The sequence below is a fragment of the Homo sapiens genome, chromosome 2, assembly GCF_000001405.40.
Source record: "Homo sapiens chromosome 2, GRCh38.p14 Primary Assembly".
In the NCBI taxonomy this organism is placed as follows: Eukaryota; Metazoa; Chordata; class Mammalia; order Primates; family Hominidae; genus Homo; species Homo sapiens.
Window position 1 is genome coordinate 25,309,952 of NC_000002.12, and position 12,989 is coordinate 25,322,940.

At 53.7% G+C, this 12,989-nt stretch overlaps 1 protein-coding gene across 9 annotated transcripts in view, besides 3 other annotated features; it reads right to left on the reverse strand.

The window, feature by feature from the left end:
• Positions 1-12,989, reverse strand: part of DNMT3A (DNA methyltransferase 3 alpha) — a 114,717-nt gene that overhangs the window by 82,078 nt on the left and 19,650 nt on the right. For 7 of the 9 annotated variants that reach the window (NR_135490.2, NM_022552.5, NM_175629.2 and 4 more), the window contains exon 2: positions 3,962-4,210. Coding sequence is in view for 8 of the 9 variants with exons in the window: in NM_022552.5 (NP_072046.2) it covers positions 3,962-4,033 (72 nt within the window). In the remaining variant the exon portion in view is untranslated. Of the gene's footprint in view, positions 1-3,961; positions 4,211-4,287; positions 6,646-12,989 lie in introns of those variants that run through there. The other 2 variants (XM_005264175.6, XM_017003526.2) reach the window with 2 other exon arrangements.
• Positions 3,073-3,836: an enhancer, noted in NCBI's record as "H3K27ac-H3K4me1 hESC enhancer chr2:25535893-25536656 (GRCh37/hg19 assembly coordinates)". NCBI's record gives its function as "activates a minimal SCP1, AML or CMV promoter by ChIP-STARR-seq in primed H9 embryonic stem cells {active_cell/tissue: H9 hESC(primed)}" and the evidence as "EXISTENCE:reporter gene assay evidence [ECO:0000049][PMID:30033119]".
• Positions 3,837-4,600: an enhancer, noted in NCBI's record as "H3K27ac-H3K4me1 hESC enhancer chr2:25536657-25537420 (GRCh37/hg19 assembly coordinates)". NCBI's record gives its function as "activates a minimal SCP1, AML or CMV promoter by ChIP-STARR-seq in naive H9 embryonic stem cells {active_cell/tissue: H9 hESC(naive)}" and the evidence as "EXISTENCE:reporter gene assay evidence [ECO:0000049][PMID:30033119]".
• Positions 12,141-12,968: an enhancer, noted in NCBI's record as "H3K4me1 hESC enhancer chr2:25544961-25545788 (GRCh37/hg19 assembly coordinates)". NCBI's record gives its function as "activates a minimal SCP1, AML or CMV promoter by ChIP-STARR-seq in naive and primed H9 embryonic stem cells {active_cell/tissue: H9 hESC(naive and primed)}" and the evidence as "EXISTENCE:reporter gene assay evidence [ECO:0000049][PMID:30033119]".

The window sequence follows — 12,989 nt, forward strand, 5'->3', positions numbered from 1 at the left end:
AGGCTGAGGCAGGAGAATGGCGTGAACCCGGGAGGCAGAGCTTGCAGTGAAACAAGATCACGCCACTGCACTCCAGCCTGGGCAACAGAGCAAGACTCCGTCTCAAACAAAAAAAGAATGGAATAAGATAATGCATGCACATAGCACCCGGCAGTCGGCGTTCAATGCATCTTAGCCATTGTGTTTCTGAGGCCAGAGGAAAGGGGACAGAACTGAGAACAGGGGCCTGGCCTGGGGCTGTGGACTCCCCTCTGATTCATATTTGGGGATCTGAGGTGGCCCTTGGACTGTTCTTGGTCCCCTGTCCTGCTCCCTCTGCCCCCCACCCTCTGCTCCATACTCCCCTCTAAGCTCTCAGCCTCCCCACTGCTTGCCTCCCCACCCACCCTCCATGAGGCCAGCCCCCTCCCTCTGCTGCGGCAACATTTACCAGCTGACTCGCCCTGACCACAGCCCCAGAGCTCGGCCTGCCTCCTCCCCATCTCCCCAAGCAGCCCTGCTCTGCCCACCATATGGATGGCGGGTAGGGCAGGCGGCAGGTGCCAGGGGGACACACACAGGCCACTCTGTACACTCCCAGCCACAGCATGGCTGCCTCAGCCCAGCACCCACAGCTCTGCACTCCGCCTCCCTGATCCTGGGCTCCGGGATTATTCTCCTGTGGGAGGGTCTTGGCTACTCTCATTTTTCTTTCCGTTCTATCCGTAAAATATTTCCCAAGCACCCACTCTGTGCTATTCCAGGTCCGGGGGATTCACATGGAAGAAAAGGGCCGTGACCCTGCGCTCCAGGCTAGCAGTGGGCAGAAGTTATCTACACCAATAGTTCTCAACATCTGTGCGCAACAGTATCCCCTGGAGGGATGGTTAAAGGTGCCCGGCTGGGTCCCATCCCCCGAGTTCTGGCTCAGCAGGTCTGGAATGGGGCCTGAGCTTTGCCTTCCCAGGTGATGCTGAAGTTGCTCATTTGGGGATCCCACTTTGAGAACCACTGGTCCCCTGCAAACTATAATACAAGGCCAACTACAGCCTGGGCTTTGAGGCTTTGACCAGGGAGGAGAAGAGATTAGGGAAAGGGCCCATGCGGCAGAGGGAGCAGCATAAACAAAGACCTGGAGACTCCAGGAAGTATGGGAGTGGGGCTGGAGTGAAAGGTGCATGGAGGCGGGGCTGGGGGCGGGGGCGGGGAGGGGGGGCGGCGGTGGGCAGAGGCTAGAGGGCCACATGGGGCCAGGCAGTGGAAGGGCCATTGGTTGGCCACACCCCTTCCATCTGGCTTGCCAAACAGTTCCTTTGTGCACAGTGCCCCTGGCACCTGTGCCAGGCTCCCTGGGCTGCAGACCAAGCCTGTGTCTTCCCCTCTGCAGCTACCAGCACCCCTGCCGCAGGCCTGGCTTTCATGGGCTGCTGTGGTGGCTGTCAGTGTCTCTCCCCACCCTCCCTGGGCGGCTCCCTGGAGGTGCTGGAGCCAGCCCAGAGGTGCCGGGGAAGTGTGCCAGGTGAGCCAGCATGCGTGGTGTAGGTGTGGGCGGCTGGGGAGGAGGCCTGGCTATGGCCCAGCCCTTATCTATCCAGATCACTGCCATCTTTTGGCATGACCCCTCCTGCTGGGGTGTGAGTGTGCACTCTATCAGCACCGGGATCTAGGGCTGGGTGTGTGTTTGTTGCCGCTTGAGCCAGAGCAGTTACTATGGGTAGATAATAATAGCAATCGTAATCCCTCATAATTGGACCAGACTTTGCTGTCTGCAGGTCACTTCCATGCCCATGACCTTATCTGACTTCCACAACCACCCTTTAAAACAGGCAAGGCTGGAGTCACTATCCCCATTTTCCAGCTGAGCAAACACAAGCCCAGATGGCCTGAAGTCACATCTCCAGTAAGTGGCATACTCAGGACTAGGACCTGGGATTTCTGACTCCTGGTCCAGCGTTGCTTCTCAGTCCTGAGCTATTATAATGCAGATCCTGACCTGCTCCCGTCCATTGGTGGTGGCCTGGGGCTCCGCAGCCCAGAGCAGCAGCAGCGGCGTGGGAGTACAGTCCAGTAACAGGAGGAGTTTGTCCCAGCTGTCCCCACCCTCCCCACCTGTGGGGAGCAGCTGACCAGTGACTGCCAGTGCATTGATGGGGAGCTGCGTCAGCAACTGTCAGGACATCGGACCCAGAGTGGGGCGACACTCGGGGTCACCTTATCCGACAGAGAAAGCAAGCCAGGCCCAAGAAGGGGAGGGAGTCAGCCATGGCCACAGTTGCCACTCCAGAGCACAGACAGCGGCAGGTGTCCCCAACTCTACGGCCAAAGGGCTTGGGTCTTCATGCTGCTTGAGTCCTGAGCGGGGGCAGCCTAGGGGCCCGCAGGTATCCAGGACTATCAGTTCTTTTCCCATGGATTCAGAAGGGAGGAGCCTGATCGGTCGCCCCGGGCGTCCTGCCCAGTGGGCCGCAGCGCATGCTGGCTTTCTGACCTGCTCTGGCTGACTGGGTGCACACACCCCCACGGTGCTCTACAGGGTGCTGGGCTGGGAAGGCAGGTCCCTGGGCGTCATGTGCACTCCTGGGATGTGTACATGTGTCCCTAGCAGGACCTATGCAGGTAGGGCTGTGGGAAGGGCTCGGACCTGGGAGACAGGAGAACAGGCTGTCATCTGGACCTGCCACTGCCCAGCGGGGCTCAGCTTCCTCATCTGTAAACTGGGGCCATCTGTCCCTGCCCCATTTGTTTCAAGAGTTGTCCCCAAGGACCAAATAGAACCATTGATGGAAAACTAGGAAACAGAAACACACTCTGAAGAATGGTAAACCCAGGAAGGAGCTGAGCACGCAAGAGGGAGGTCTCAGAGCTGACACCCTTCAGGTAGGGTGCTGGCTGCCTCTAGCCCCAGAGTGCCCAGGGCCCCCAAAGCTGGTGCCAGGTGTCCACCTTTGTTCCAAAAGAACCAACTGGTGCCCCCATGAGCATGCCCAGCTACTCCCAGACACCACCAAGCAGCACAACCCCCAGCGCTACTCAGGGGAAGGGGAGCAGGCAGGGGGAACTGTGGACAGAGGCACAGCAGACAGACATGCCAGGAAGGCCTATGGCCATCATAAGATCCCCTGGAGGGTGGCAGTGAGTTCACCATTCCACTGACAGAGGGCAACACAGTCCAGTGCTGGGGGTTAAGGGGCAGCTTTTCCTATCATGGGGACACAGCTTGGTAAGGTCCCAAGACAGCCTGTGGAGACCCAGCAGGGACTCCCATCAGTCTGATGTAATCTCCTCTGACTGATTCAGGCACAACCTGGAGTTCAGCAGAAGGGTGGAGAGGCCACCCCCAACTAGATTCTGAAAACATGGAGGTCACCAGCTCCGTGGCCAAAAGCCATACCAAAGATAACCCAGCGACATTCACCTGGAGTCTGGGGTGGGGGGCGGGGACAGGAAATCACCATCTCCAAAGTGTGCTGGCGCCACACTGAGCCCAGCCTGTGCCTCCGTCTGTGTGGGAGGGTGGGCCCCCGCGGCCTCGTGTCTGCCGTGCCCCACCCCAGAACTTGTCTTTGGTCCCCTAGAAGCTACTGAACACCTTAAGGAAACAGAGGCAGCTGAGAGAGAAAGTGATTCACGTGAAGGCCCACGGCTAGTAAGAGGCGGGTCCGAGAAGGAATCCAGGTTCTGGGACTCTCTGTGAGGCCGAACCCTCACAATGGCACAGACCTGGGCTTTGAGCCACTGTGCGAATGCCATGGTGGTTAAAAGCCTGGGTCCTGGAACCAAATGCCTGCTCCATCACCAGAATTGAACCTCTGCAAGCCTCCGTTTCCTCATCACCCAAACAGGGATGTGATGGTCCCACACCCTGTCGTGAGCACTGAGTGATGCGGTCATGCACTCAGTATGAGGAGCCGGCTGTCATCACATAGGGACAGGGCTCTCCCTCTCCCAGGCCAGAGGGTCCCCAGCAGAGCCCGCTGCTCACCTTTCGGTCCTCCTCCCGCTCCGCAGCAGAGCTGCTGGTGTCCCCGGGGCCGCTGGAGGGCATGGCGGGCATCTGGGCGCCGGGAGGCAGGCTGGGGCTGCGCGGGGCTGGGGGGCTGCTGGGCTTTGGGGAAGGAATTATCGTGGTCTTTGGAGGCGAGAGTTAAAACTTAAACATAGATCCCGGTGTTGAGCCCTCTGGTGAACGGTGCCTCTGTCAGCCTGTGGGTGGGGGCTTCGATGGCTCCACCTGTGGGGGAGAGAAGAGGATCAGTGGGGCGGAGCACCCCACCCTCCCTGGGTCAGGCCCTCAGCCCAGGGCCACACCTGGCCTGTGAGGCCTGGGGTGTTGCTCCTCCTTCTGGCCTCACCAGCACCCCAGAGAGCAGAGAAACCGAGGCAGGCTCCCTTCAGGGCCACCTCCTACCCCAGCAGCCTCTGAGAGCCTTGGAGTGGCAGCAGTCTCCCCTCCGTGTCGCTGCGGCCAATGGGTGCCACTTCTGGGACCTCCAGCTGCCTCCGCCTCCTCCCTTCTCTTCATTCACAGCCTCTCTCTCCTTTGAAAGCTTCCCGCATCCTCCCTCCCACCCCAACCAGCCCCTGGGAAATCCCAGCCTCCCCCAGAGGCCCCTAGCCCAGCTACGTTTTCCTTCTAATCTGTCCTCACCCCCACCCCCACACCTCCCGCCACGTGGAGGAAGTGAGTGCAGTCACAGGATGTAGTGAAATGAATGTCACCTCACTTCAGGACCGGTGCCTGGGCCCAGAGAAAGCTGAGGTCTGAGCTCAGGCTGCAGGCCTGGTTGGCTCTGGCCTAGGAGGGAGAGGCCACGGCCACGGCCAAGGCCACAGGCCACGGCCACACTGAGGCAGGAGTGAGGCTGCTCTCTCCCCCACCCCATGAACCAGCCTCATTTGCCTGCAGAGTTGGTGGGCTTGAGGGGTCCTCTGAACCCACACGGCTGAGTTTAGGGGCTTTTCTTCCCTCTGCTCCAGGTGTAGGCCTCAAGCCAGAGAAATAACAAAGCCTGCAGCTCAGGCCACAGCTGGGGTGGGGGTGTTGCTGTCTCAGCCCCCTCACTCAGAGACACACAAGAGCTCCCCTGCTCCCCACCCCCGGAGGAGGCGGCCGCCAAGCCCCTGCCTTGAGTGTGCCAGGGCCCAGGAGGGGATTGGCAGGCAAGGGAGAGCGGGAGGCAGGCTGGATCTGGGCCCACCCACACCCTTCCCCTTCCAGTTCCTGGTTCTGCTTCCCCAGCTCCCCCTCCCTCCTGGGCTTCTCCTCCCATCCCCCTCCAGTCAGGGCTCCCTGGAAAACCAGGACCGGGAGAAAGCACAGGCTTGGCTCTCCTACAGGCCTAGCCCCTTTCTCCAGGGGTGCATTCTTGCCTGGGAGTGGGTGCCCCAGCCCTGGCTGTGCCCCAGGGGGTAGTGGGAGGAAGGAGCTGGCAGGAGGAGCTTCTTAGGGCCAGGACAGGAAGAGCTCCATCAGGTCAACCCAGAAAGGCTTGAAGCGGACCTGCCCCACAGCTGAGCCCTGAGGCAGCCCAGGTGCACTGCGTCCATTCCCCATACCCCTAGGCACAGCGCAGTGCTGGGCTTAAGGAAGGTTTGCTGCCCGGGTCCCGAGAGGGTGGACGGCAGCGGAGAGCAGCTCCATCGGCCACATGCCACTCAGGGCCTGGCTCGTGCTCTGCATCTGGGCAGCTGCTGTGCCGTGCCCAGTTTACAGGTGACGGTAAGATCAACAAGGCCAGGACCCATCAGAGGCATGAACCCAGATCTCTCTGACACTAAAGTTCTGAGGGGTTGGGTTCACGTCCCCCAACACACACCACAGAAGCAACTCTGAAGATCCCAAAAGAGAACTGGTCCAACCCAGAAGCACTCGGCTGCCAGCCCTTAGCAGCCAGTGATTCCCTGTCAAGCCTCACTCCCCATTTGTTACCACAGACATCTCCAGCCACACTAAAACAAAAACCTTCGAAAGGGTCAGAAGCTAAGAGGGGCAGAGTCTGATTGGAAAGAACGTTGAGCCCAAAGTCCGCAGGGGTGGGATCTACTCCTGACGGAGGCTTCCCCGGCCCTCAGTTTCCCCACCAATGAAATGGGAGAGCAGGACCCCTTCTATTAATAGCTCTGACCGGCCAAGGAAGCTGTTGCGGCCCCACAGGCACAGTGGACACACAAGGGGCTGACAAGGACAGGGCACCCCAAATGGAGTCGGGGGAGACCCAGGCACAAAGGAAGCGGGGCGGGAGGGTTGTCTTGATGCTGCCCTAGGCTTAGGGACACCCAGAGGGCATCTGTGCCGCCACGGGTGTGGCGAGGTTCAGAGAAGCTCTGGAGAGGAAGGAAGCTGGAGGGAAAAGCAGAACTTCACAGGGCATTGGCCCCAAGGGCAGACACCCCAGACAGGAAAGGAAAGGAAGATTCTCTTCCTCCTCCCCTTCCTCCACCCAAGACTCTGACATCTGAGCTGCAGAAACTGTCCTCACAGAAAATGCAGCTGACCTGGGTCAACCCTTTCGTGTTGCTCAATGGACCAGCCCTGTCAGTAGCAGTCCCTCAAAATCGTGTCCATCACCTAAAATCCTCCAGTATGTGTCTGGGCGGGCCATGTACTACACAACCCTAGGGGGCCCCAGTTGGTGGCCAAGGTCCCAGACCTTGACATAGCATTGCCCACCTACCCGTAGACGCTTCATTCTTCCTTCAGGCAGCCCAGCCATGGGGAGTGGGCTCTCCTGGGCCCACAGTCCCAACACAGCAGCGGGTGTCCACCACATCGGTCCTTCCACCGCACAGCCCTGGCTGCTTCCGATACCAAAGCGTTCTTCCCACCTGGGCCAAGGGCTGCACAGCCACCACCACTGCCACCAAAAAACCCTTGCCAAGAACCCTACCACCATGAAAAGCAGCTTTTATTTCCTCCTTTTAGAGTCCACAGTGACCATGAATAATGTTTGTTAACAGCCACTTAAAAAATTTCAAGGAATCCCACCATGAAAACATCTTCGTATCACAGCTGATATGATCACCATCTCCACTGCGTCAACTATAAAACTGTTGTGGAAAAAGAACTGAAAGCTTTGAATATGCATACCAAGGCTCACTACCTTCTAAACTCAATGCAATAGAAACATTTTTTGTTTGTTTGTTTAGAGCAGGTTCTTGCTCTGTCACCCAGGCTGGATGCAGTGGTAGTATCATAGCTCAATGCAGCCTCAAACTCCTGGGCTCAAGTGCAAGTGATCCTCCCACCTCATCCTCCTGAGTAGGTGGGACTACAGCCATGTACCACCACACCTGGCTTTTTTTTTTTTTTTTTGTAGAAACAGGGTCTCCCTATGTTGCCCAGGCTGGTCTTGAACACATGGCTTCAAAGGATCCTCCCACCTCAGCCTCCCAAAGTGTTGGGATTCCAAGCATGAGCCACCACACCTGGCCAAAAGATTTTTTAAGACATAAAATCACAAGATTAGGCTGAACAAGAGAAGGAATACCACCAACAAAATTGTGGAATCTGGAAAGCAGACTTGTGACAGCCAAATTTCAGACAGGCGTGTGAACGCTGATATATAACACAGTCTTCAACAGATGCTTATATGACAGCACCAGGTACTCTGGCACTAGGGCTGAAGAGGATGCTTGTGTGAGAAACGAGAGGCTGAGTGAGAGTAGTGAATTCCTAGACCCTCTTCTACAAGTTTGAAGGTTTATCTGTAGTCACTGGAGGGCATAAAATAGGGGGTCTTTGCACAGAGTCACTTGGCACAGCTGAAGACAAAGATGATATATCAAACCAAGGAGAGGAAGGTTATTTATTTATTTATTTTCTGAGATGGAGTTTCACTCCTGTTGCCCAGGCTGGAGTGCAATGCCGCGATCTCGGCTCACCGCAACCTCCGCCTCGCGGGTTCAAGCGATTCTCCTGCCTCAGCCTCCCGAGTAGCTGGGATTACAGGCATGTACCACCAAGCCTGGCTAATTTTGTACTTTTAGTAGAGATGGGGTTTCTCCATGTTGGTCAGGCTGGTCTCGAACTCCCAATCTCAGGTGATCTGCCCACGTCAGCCTCCCAAAGTGCTGGGATTACAGGCATGAGCCACCGCGCCGGCCGGGAAGGTTATTTTAAATGCTGATGTCCAGTCTCTCAGGCTATTCCCCGATTGGGCTCTAAGAATACTGGCAGCCAGACAACCATTTCCTTCTCTGGAGAATCGAATGAGTCTAAGAGGAAAGGTTTAAGGATGCCAATACCAACATCAGTACCAAAATGGGGTCAAAATGACTTATTCAGGTCAGCCTATGTAGACTTGAAAACCAACAAGTCCACTATCATTCTCAGAGCTTCCGATCAGTTGGGTTTTTTTGTTTGTTTTTGTTTTCTGAGACGGAGTCTTTCTCTGTTGCCCAGGCTGGAGTGAAGTGGCATGATCTCCACTCACTGCAACCTCCGCCTCCTGGGTTCAAGTGATTCTCATTTCTCAGCCTCCCGAGTAGCTGGGACCACAGGCGCCCGTCACCACTCCCGGCTAATTCTTGTATTTTTAGTAGAGACAGCTTTCGCCATGTTGGCCAGGCTGGTCTTGAACTCCTGACCTCAAGTGATCCACCCACCTTGGCCTCCCAAAGTGCTGGAATTACAGGTGTGAGCCACCGTGCCCAGCCAAAATTCTTAAAGAATAAACCAAATCTTAAACAATCTTCCAATTAGAATTATTTTCAGCCAAATTATCATTTAAGTGTGAGAGTAAAATAAAGACATTTTCTTTTTTCTTTTCTTTTTTTTTTTTTTTTTGAGATGGAGTCTCGCTCTGTCGCCCAGGCTAGAGTGCAGTGGTGCAATCTCGGCTCACTGCAAGCTCTGCCTCAGGGGTTCATGCCATTCTCCAGCCTCAGCCTCCCAAGTAGCCGGGACTACAGGCGCCCACCACCATGCCTGACTAATTTTTTTTCTATTTTTAGTAGAGACAGGGTTTCACCGTGTTAGCCAGGATGGTCTCAATCTCCTGACCTCGTGATCTGCCTGCCTCGGCCTCCCAAAGTGTTAGGATTACAGGTGTGAGCCACCACGCCTGGCCCTTTTCTTTTCTTTCTTTCTTTTTTTTTTTTTTTGAGACGGAGTCTTGCTCTGTCGCCCAGGCTGGAGTACAGTGGTGGGATCTCGGCTCACTGCAACCTCCACCTCCCGGGTTCATGCCATTCTCCTGCCTCAGCCTCCCAAGTAGCTGGTACTACAGGTGCCCACCACCACACCCGGCTAATTTTTTGTATTTCTAGTAGAGACGGGGTTTCACCATGTTAGCCAGGATGGTCTCGAGCTCCTGACCTGGTGATCCGCCCGCCTTAGCCTCCCAAAGTGCTGGGATTACAGGCATGAGCCACCACGCCCGGGGTCTTTTTTTTTTCTTAAATAGAGATGGGGTCTCACTATGTTGCCCAGGCTGATCTTGAACTCCTGGGCTCAAGTGATCCTCCCACCTCAGCATCCCAAAGTGCTGGGATTACAGGCGTAAGCCACCGTGCTGGGCCCTAGTAAAGACATCTTCAGACATATGAGGCCTCACGCTCCTTTCCCAGGAAGGACAGGAAGATGTCCTCTAATACGCATAAGATCCAGTACAGGAGAGATGGGAAGGGAGGCTCCAGGATGAAGGGGAAAAGAGGCCGCATGCCAGTCACCTGGCATGAGCCAGAGAGGGCCAGCCTTCCCACTGAGACTGGGGCACGAGTGCCGTCATCACCATGCCCTCTGCTGTCGAACTGTCTTTTTACCTGACAAAACTACACAGGTATCGCTCGTGGCCATACTCTGCTATCTAAACCCAGGAACTGAATAGATTTTTTCTTTCTTTCTTTTTTTTTTTTTTGAGATGGACCCTTGCTCTCTAGCCCAGGCTGGAGTGCAGTGGCGCATTCTCGGCTCACCACAACCTCTGCCTTGTGGGTTCAAGCAATTCTCTTGCCTCAGCCTCACGAGTAGCTGGGATTACAGGCACCCGCCGCCATGCCCGGCTAATTTTTGCATTTTTAGTAGAGATGGGATTTTGCCATGTTGGCCAGGCTGGTCTCAAACTCCTAACCTCAGGTGATCCACCCGCCTCGGCCTCCCAAAGTCCTGGGATTAGAGGCGTGAGCCACTGTGCCCAGCCATGAATGGATTTTGATATGGACAGATGTGTGTCCTGGAAGATGTGCTCTAATGAGGGGAGTGAGCCAAGCATGAGGAGGACACGAAAGCCAGAAAACAGAGATTCCAACCGGAAAGTAATGGGAATTCCAAAGATGACCACAAAAGGAAGTCACAGAGCATCAGCTACAATGTGCCTAGAAAGCAACTAGCCCAGAGTGAAAGAGGATAGATAACTTAAAAAATGGAACTGAAACATCTTTTACCTGCTGTGACTGCCCGTGTGGAAAGCAATACTGATGGCTATTGGAAAGTGTGGTAGGCCCACCACAAAGAAGTGATAAATGCTGGAGGTGATGGATATACCAACTATCCTGTTTTGATCATTACACAATGTATGCATGTATTGAAACATCACATTGTACCCCATAGAGATGCACAATTATTATGTGTCAGTTAAAAAGAAAAAAAGAAAAAGAAGTCCTAAGGTAACAGTATTGTTAAAGAAAAATAAAATTATATTAGAAGTTGTGGTAGGAATTAGCAACAGGTACAAAAAAATAAGGCAGATGAGAAACAAGGTAATTATTAACTTCAGGGAAAAAAAAACGAAAAGAAACTATTACAGTGCACCACAAGGCTCAGCTGTGAATAATAGTTTTATCGAAATAATAAAATAAACACTGTGTGTAGGTTTAACAAATATATGTGTGTGTACATATATATGTATATATGCATGTATGTACACACAAATTACTTTTGTATGTACCACAAAATTAATGCCTTAAAACAACACATTATCGGCCGGGCGCGGTGGCTCACACCTGTAATCCCAGCACTTTGGGAGGCCGAGGAGGGTGGATCACCTGAGGTCGGAAGTTCAAGACCAGCCTGACCAACATGGAGAAACTCCGTCTCTACTAAAAATACAAAAATTAGCCAGGCATGATGGTGCATTCCTGTAATCCCAGCTACTCGGGAAGGCTGAGGCAGGAGAATCACTTGAACCTGGGAGGCGGAGGTTGCGGTGAGCGGAGATGGCACCATTGTACTCCACCCTGGGCAACAAAAGCGAAACTCCGTCTCAAAAAAAAAAATTATCTTGCAATTCTGCAAGTCAGTAGTAAAAAAAAAAAAAGATTCTCCTTACTAGGCTAAACTCAAGATGTTGGCAGGGCTGCATTCTTTTCTGGAAACTCTAAGGAGAATCCATTTCCTTGACATTTTCAACATCTAGAGGCTGCCCTCATTCCTTGCCACGTGGTCCCCTTCCAACTCCAAAGCCAGCGATGGCCAGTCTTTTTCCCATCACAGTACTCTCTGCCTCATCAACATCTCCTGCTCTGACTACTCTTCTGCTTCCATCTTTCACTTCTAATGACCCTTCTGATTACACTGGGCCCACCCAGATAATCCAGGATAATCCCCTCATCTCTAGGTCATTAATTTAATCACATCTGCAAAGTCCCTTTTGCCATGTAAGGTGACATATTCACAGGTCCAGGGGATTAGGACCTGGCCATCTTAGGGGGGCCATTATTCTGGCTACCAAATGCACAAAACATTTTTGAGGCTGGACACAATGGCTCATGCCTGTAATCCCAGCACTCTGAGAGGCCAAGACAGGAGGATCACTTGGGACCAGTCTGATGACACAGGGAGATCCTGTCTCTACAAAAATTTACAAAATTAGCCGAGTGTGGTGGCACATGCCTGTAGTCCCAGCTACTCGAGAGGCTGATGTGGGAGGATCGCTCGAGCCCAGGAGGTCGAGGCTGCAGGGAGCTGTGATTGTGCCACCACACTCCAGCCTGGGCAAAGATCGAGATCCTGTCTCAAAACAATCAACAACAAACAATTTTTTGAAAAAATATAAGAAGAGTACTGTCAATATTTAAGGAGGATGGCTGAAGAGCAGAAAGGTTGGACATGTAAGAGGATCTACTAAATAGGAAATCAATGGAAAATGTCTAAATAGATGAATCAAAAATATGCACTTTACTCAGAAATATGAGATGAAAATTGCTGGAAGAAACAGCCAAGAGAATCGAAAGCGGTTGCCTCTGAGAAGAGGATAAGGGTAGGAGTAGGCAAGGAATCACTGCATTTTGTTAGGAGGTTTTAGTACTATTCGACTTCTTAAATTATATGCATGTACTACTGTGAGTAAATAAAAATGAATTTTTAAACAGAGAGAGTGGGGATGGGAGAAAGGGCTTACGTCCCAACTGCAGCCATCGGTTGCGTTTGGCCTCCATTTCCTTCTCTATAAATAAGAGTGTAGCTGAGGCCTTTCCACCTCTGTTGTTCTATGAAATCATCACGTCCCACAGAATAACCATCATCAGCTCCTCACACCCACACAGAGTTCCATCACCAGCTACAACACTGGTACCTCCCTCTCCACCCCCCACCCTCACGAAATGTTTAATCCTCCAAACACATCATTCCCGCTGCGTCCAGCCCATGGGCAGCGCAAGTCAGTGCTGCCTGCATCCGTAACCCCAACCCCCGCTCACTCAGCCCCTTCTCAGACCAAAGAGCTACATCTCCACCATCTCCTGAAGCCTCAGGACTGCTCCCCTGCACCACACTGTCCCCACTGCCGCCCCCACTTCCTCACCAACCCCAGCCTCATCAGCACCCCCGAGATGACCACCCAAGCCTCCTCTCCATCTTCAGATTGAGGACTGCTGGCCCCCCTGCCACCCCACAGTCTCTCCTCAACAAGGGCTTGCACATAATTATCCTCTTCCAAAACCAAAACTGTCACGGCCCACAAACCTAAATCCTCACTCCACCAAACACGATCCCAATATTCTCACCCTAAGGGCCCCTTCTTCTCCGTCTCAAGTTCTCTGTCTGAATGGCTGAAAAATATCTGACCATTTCT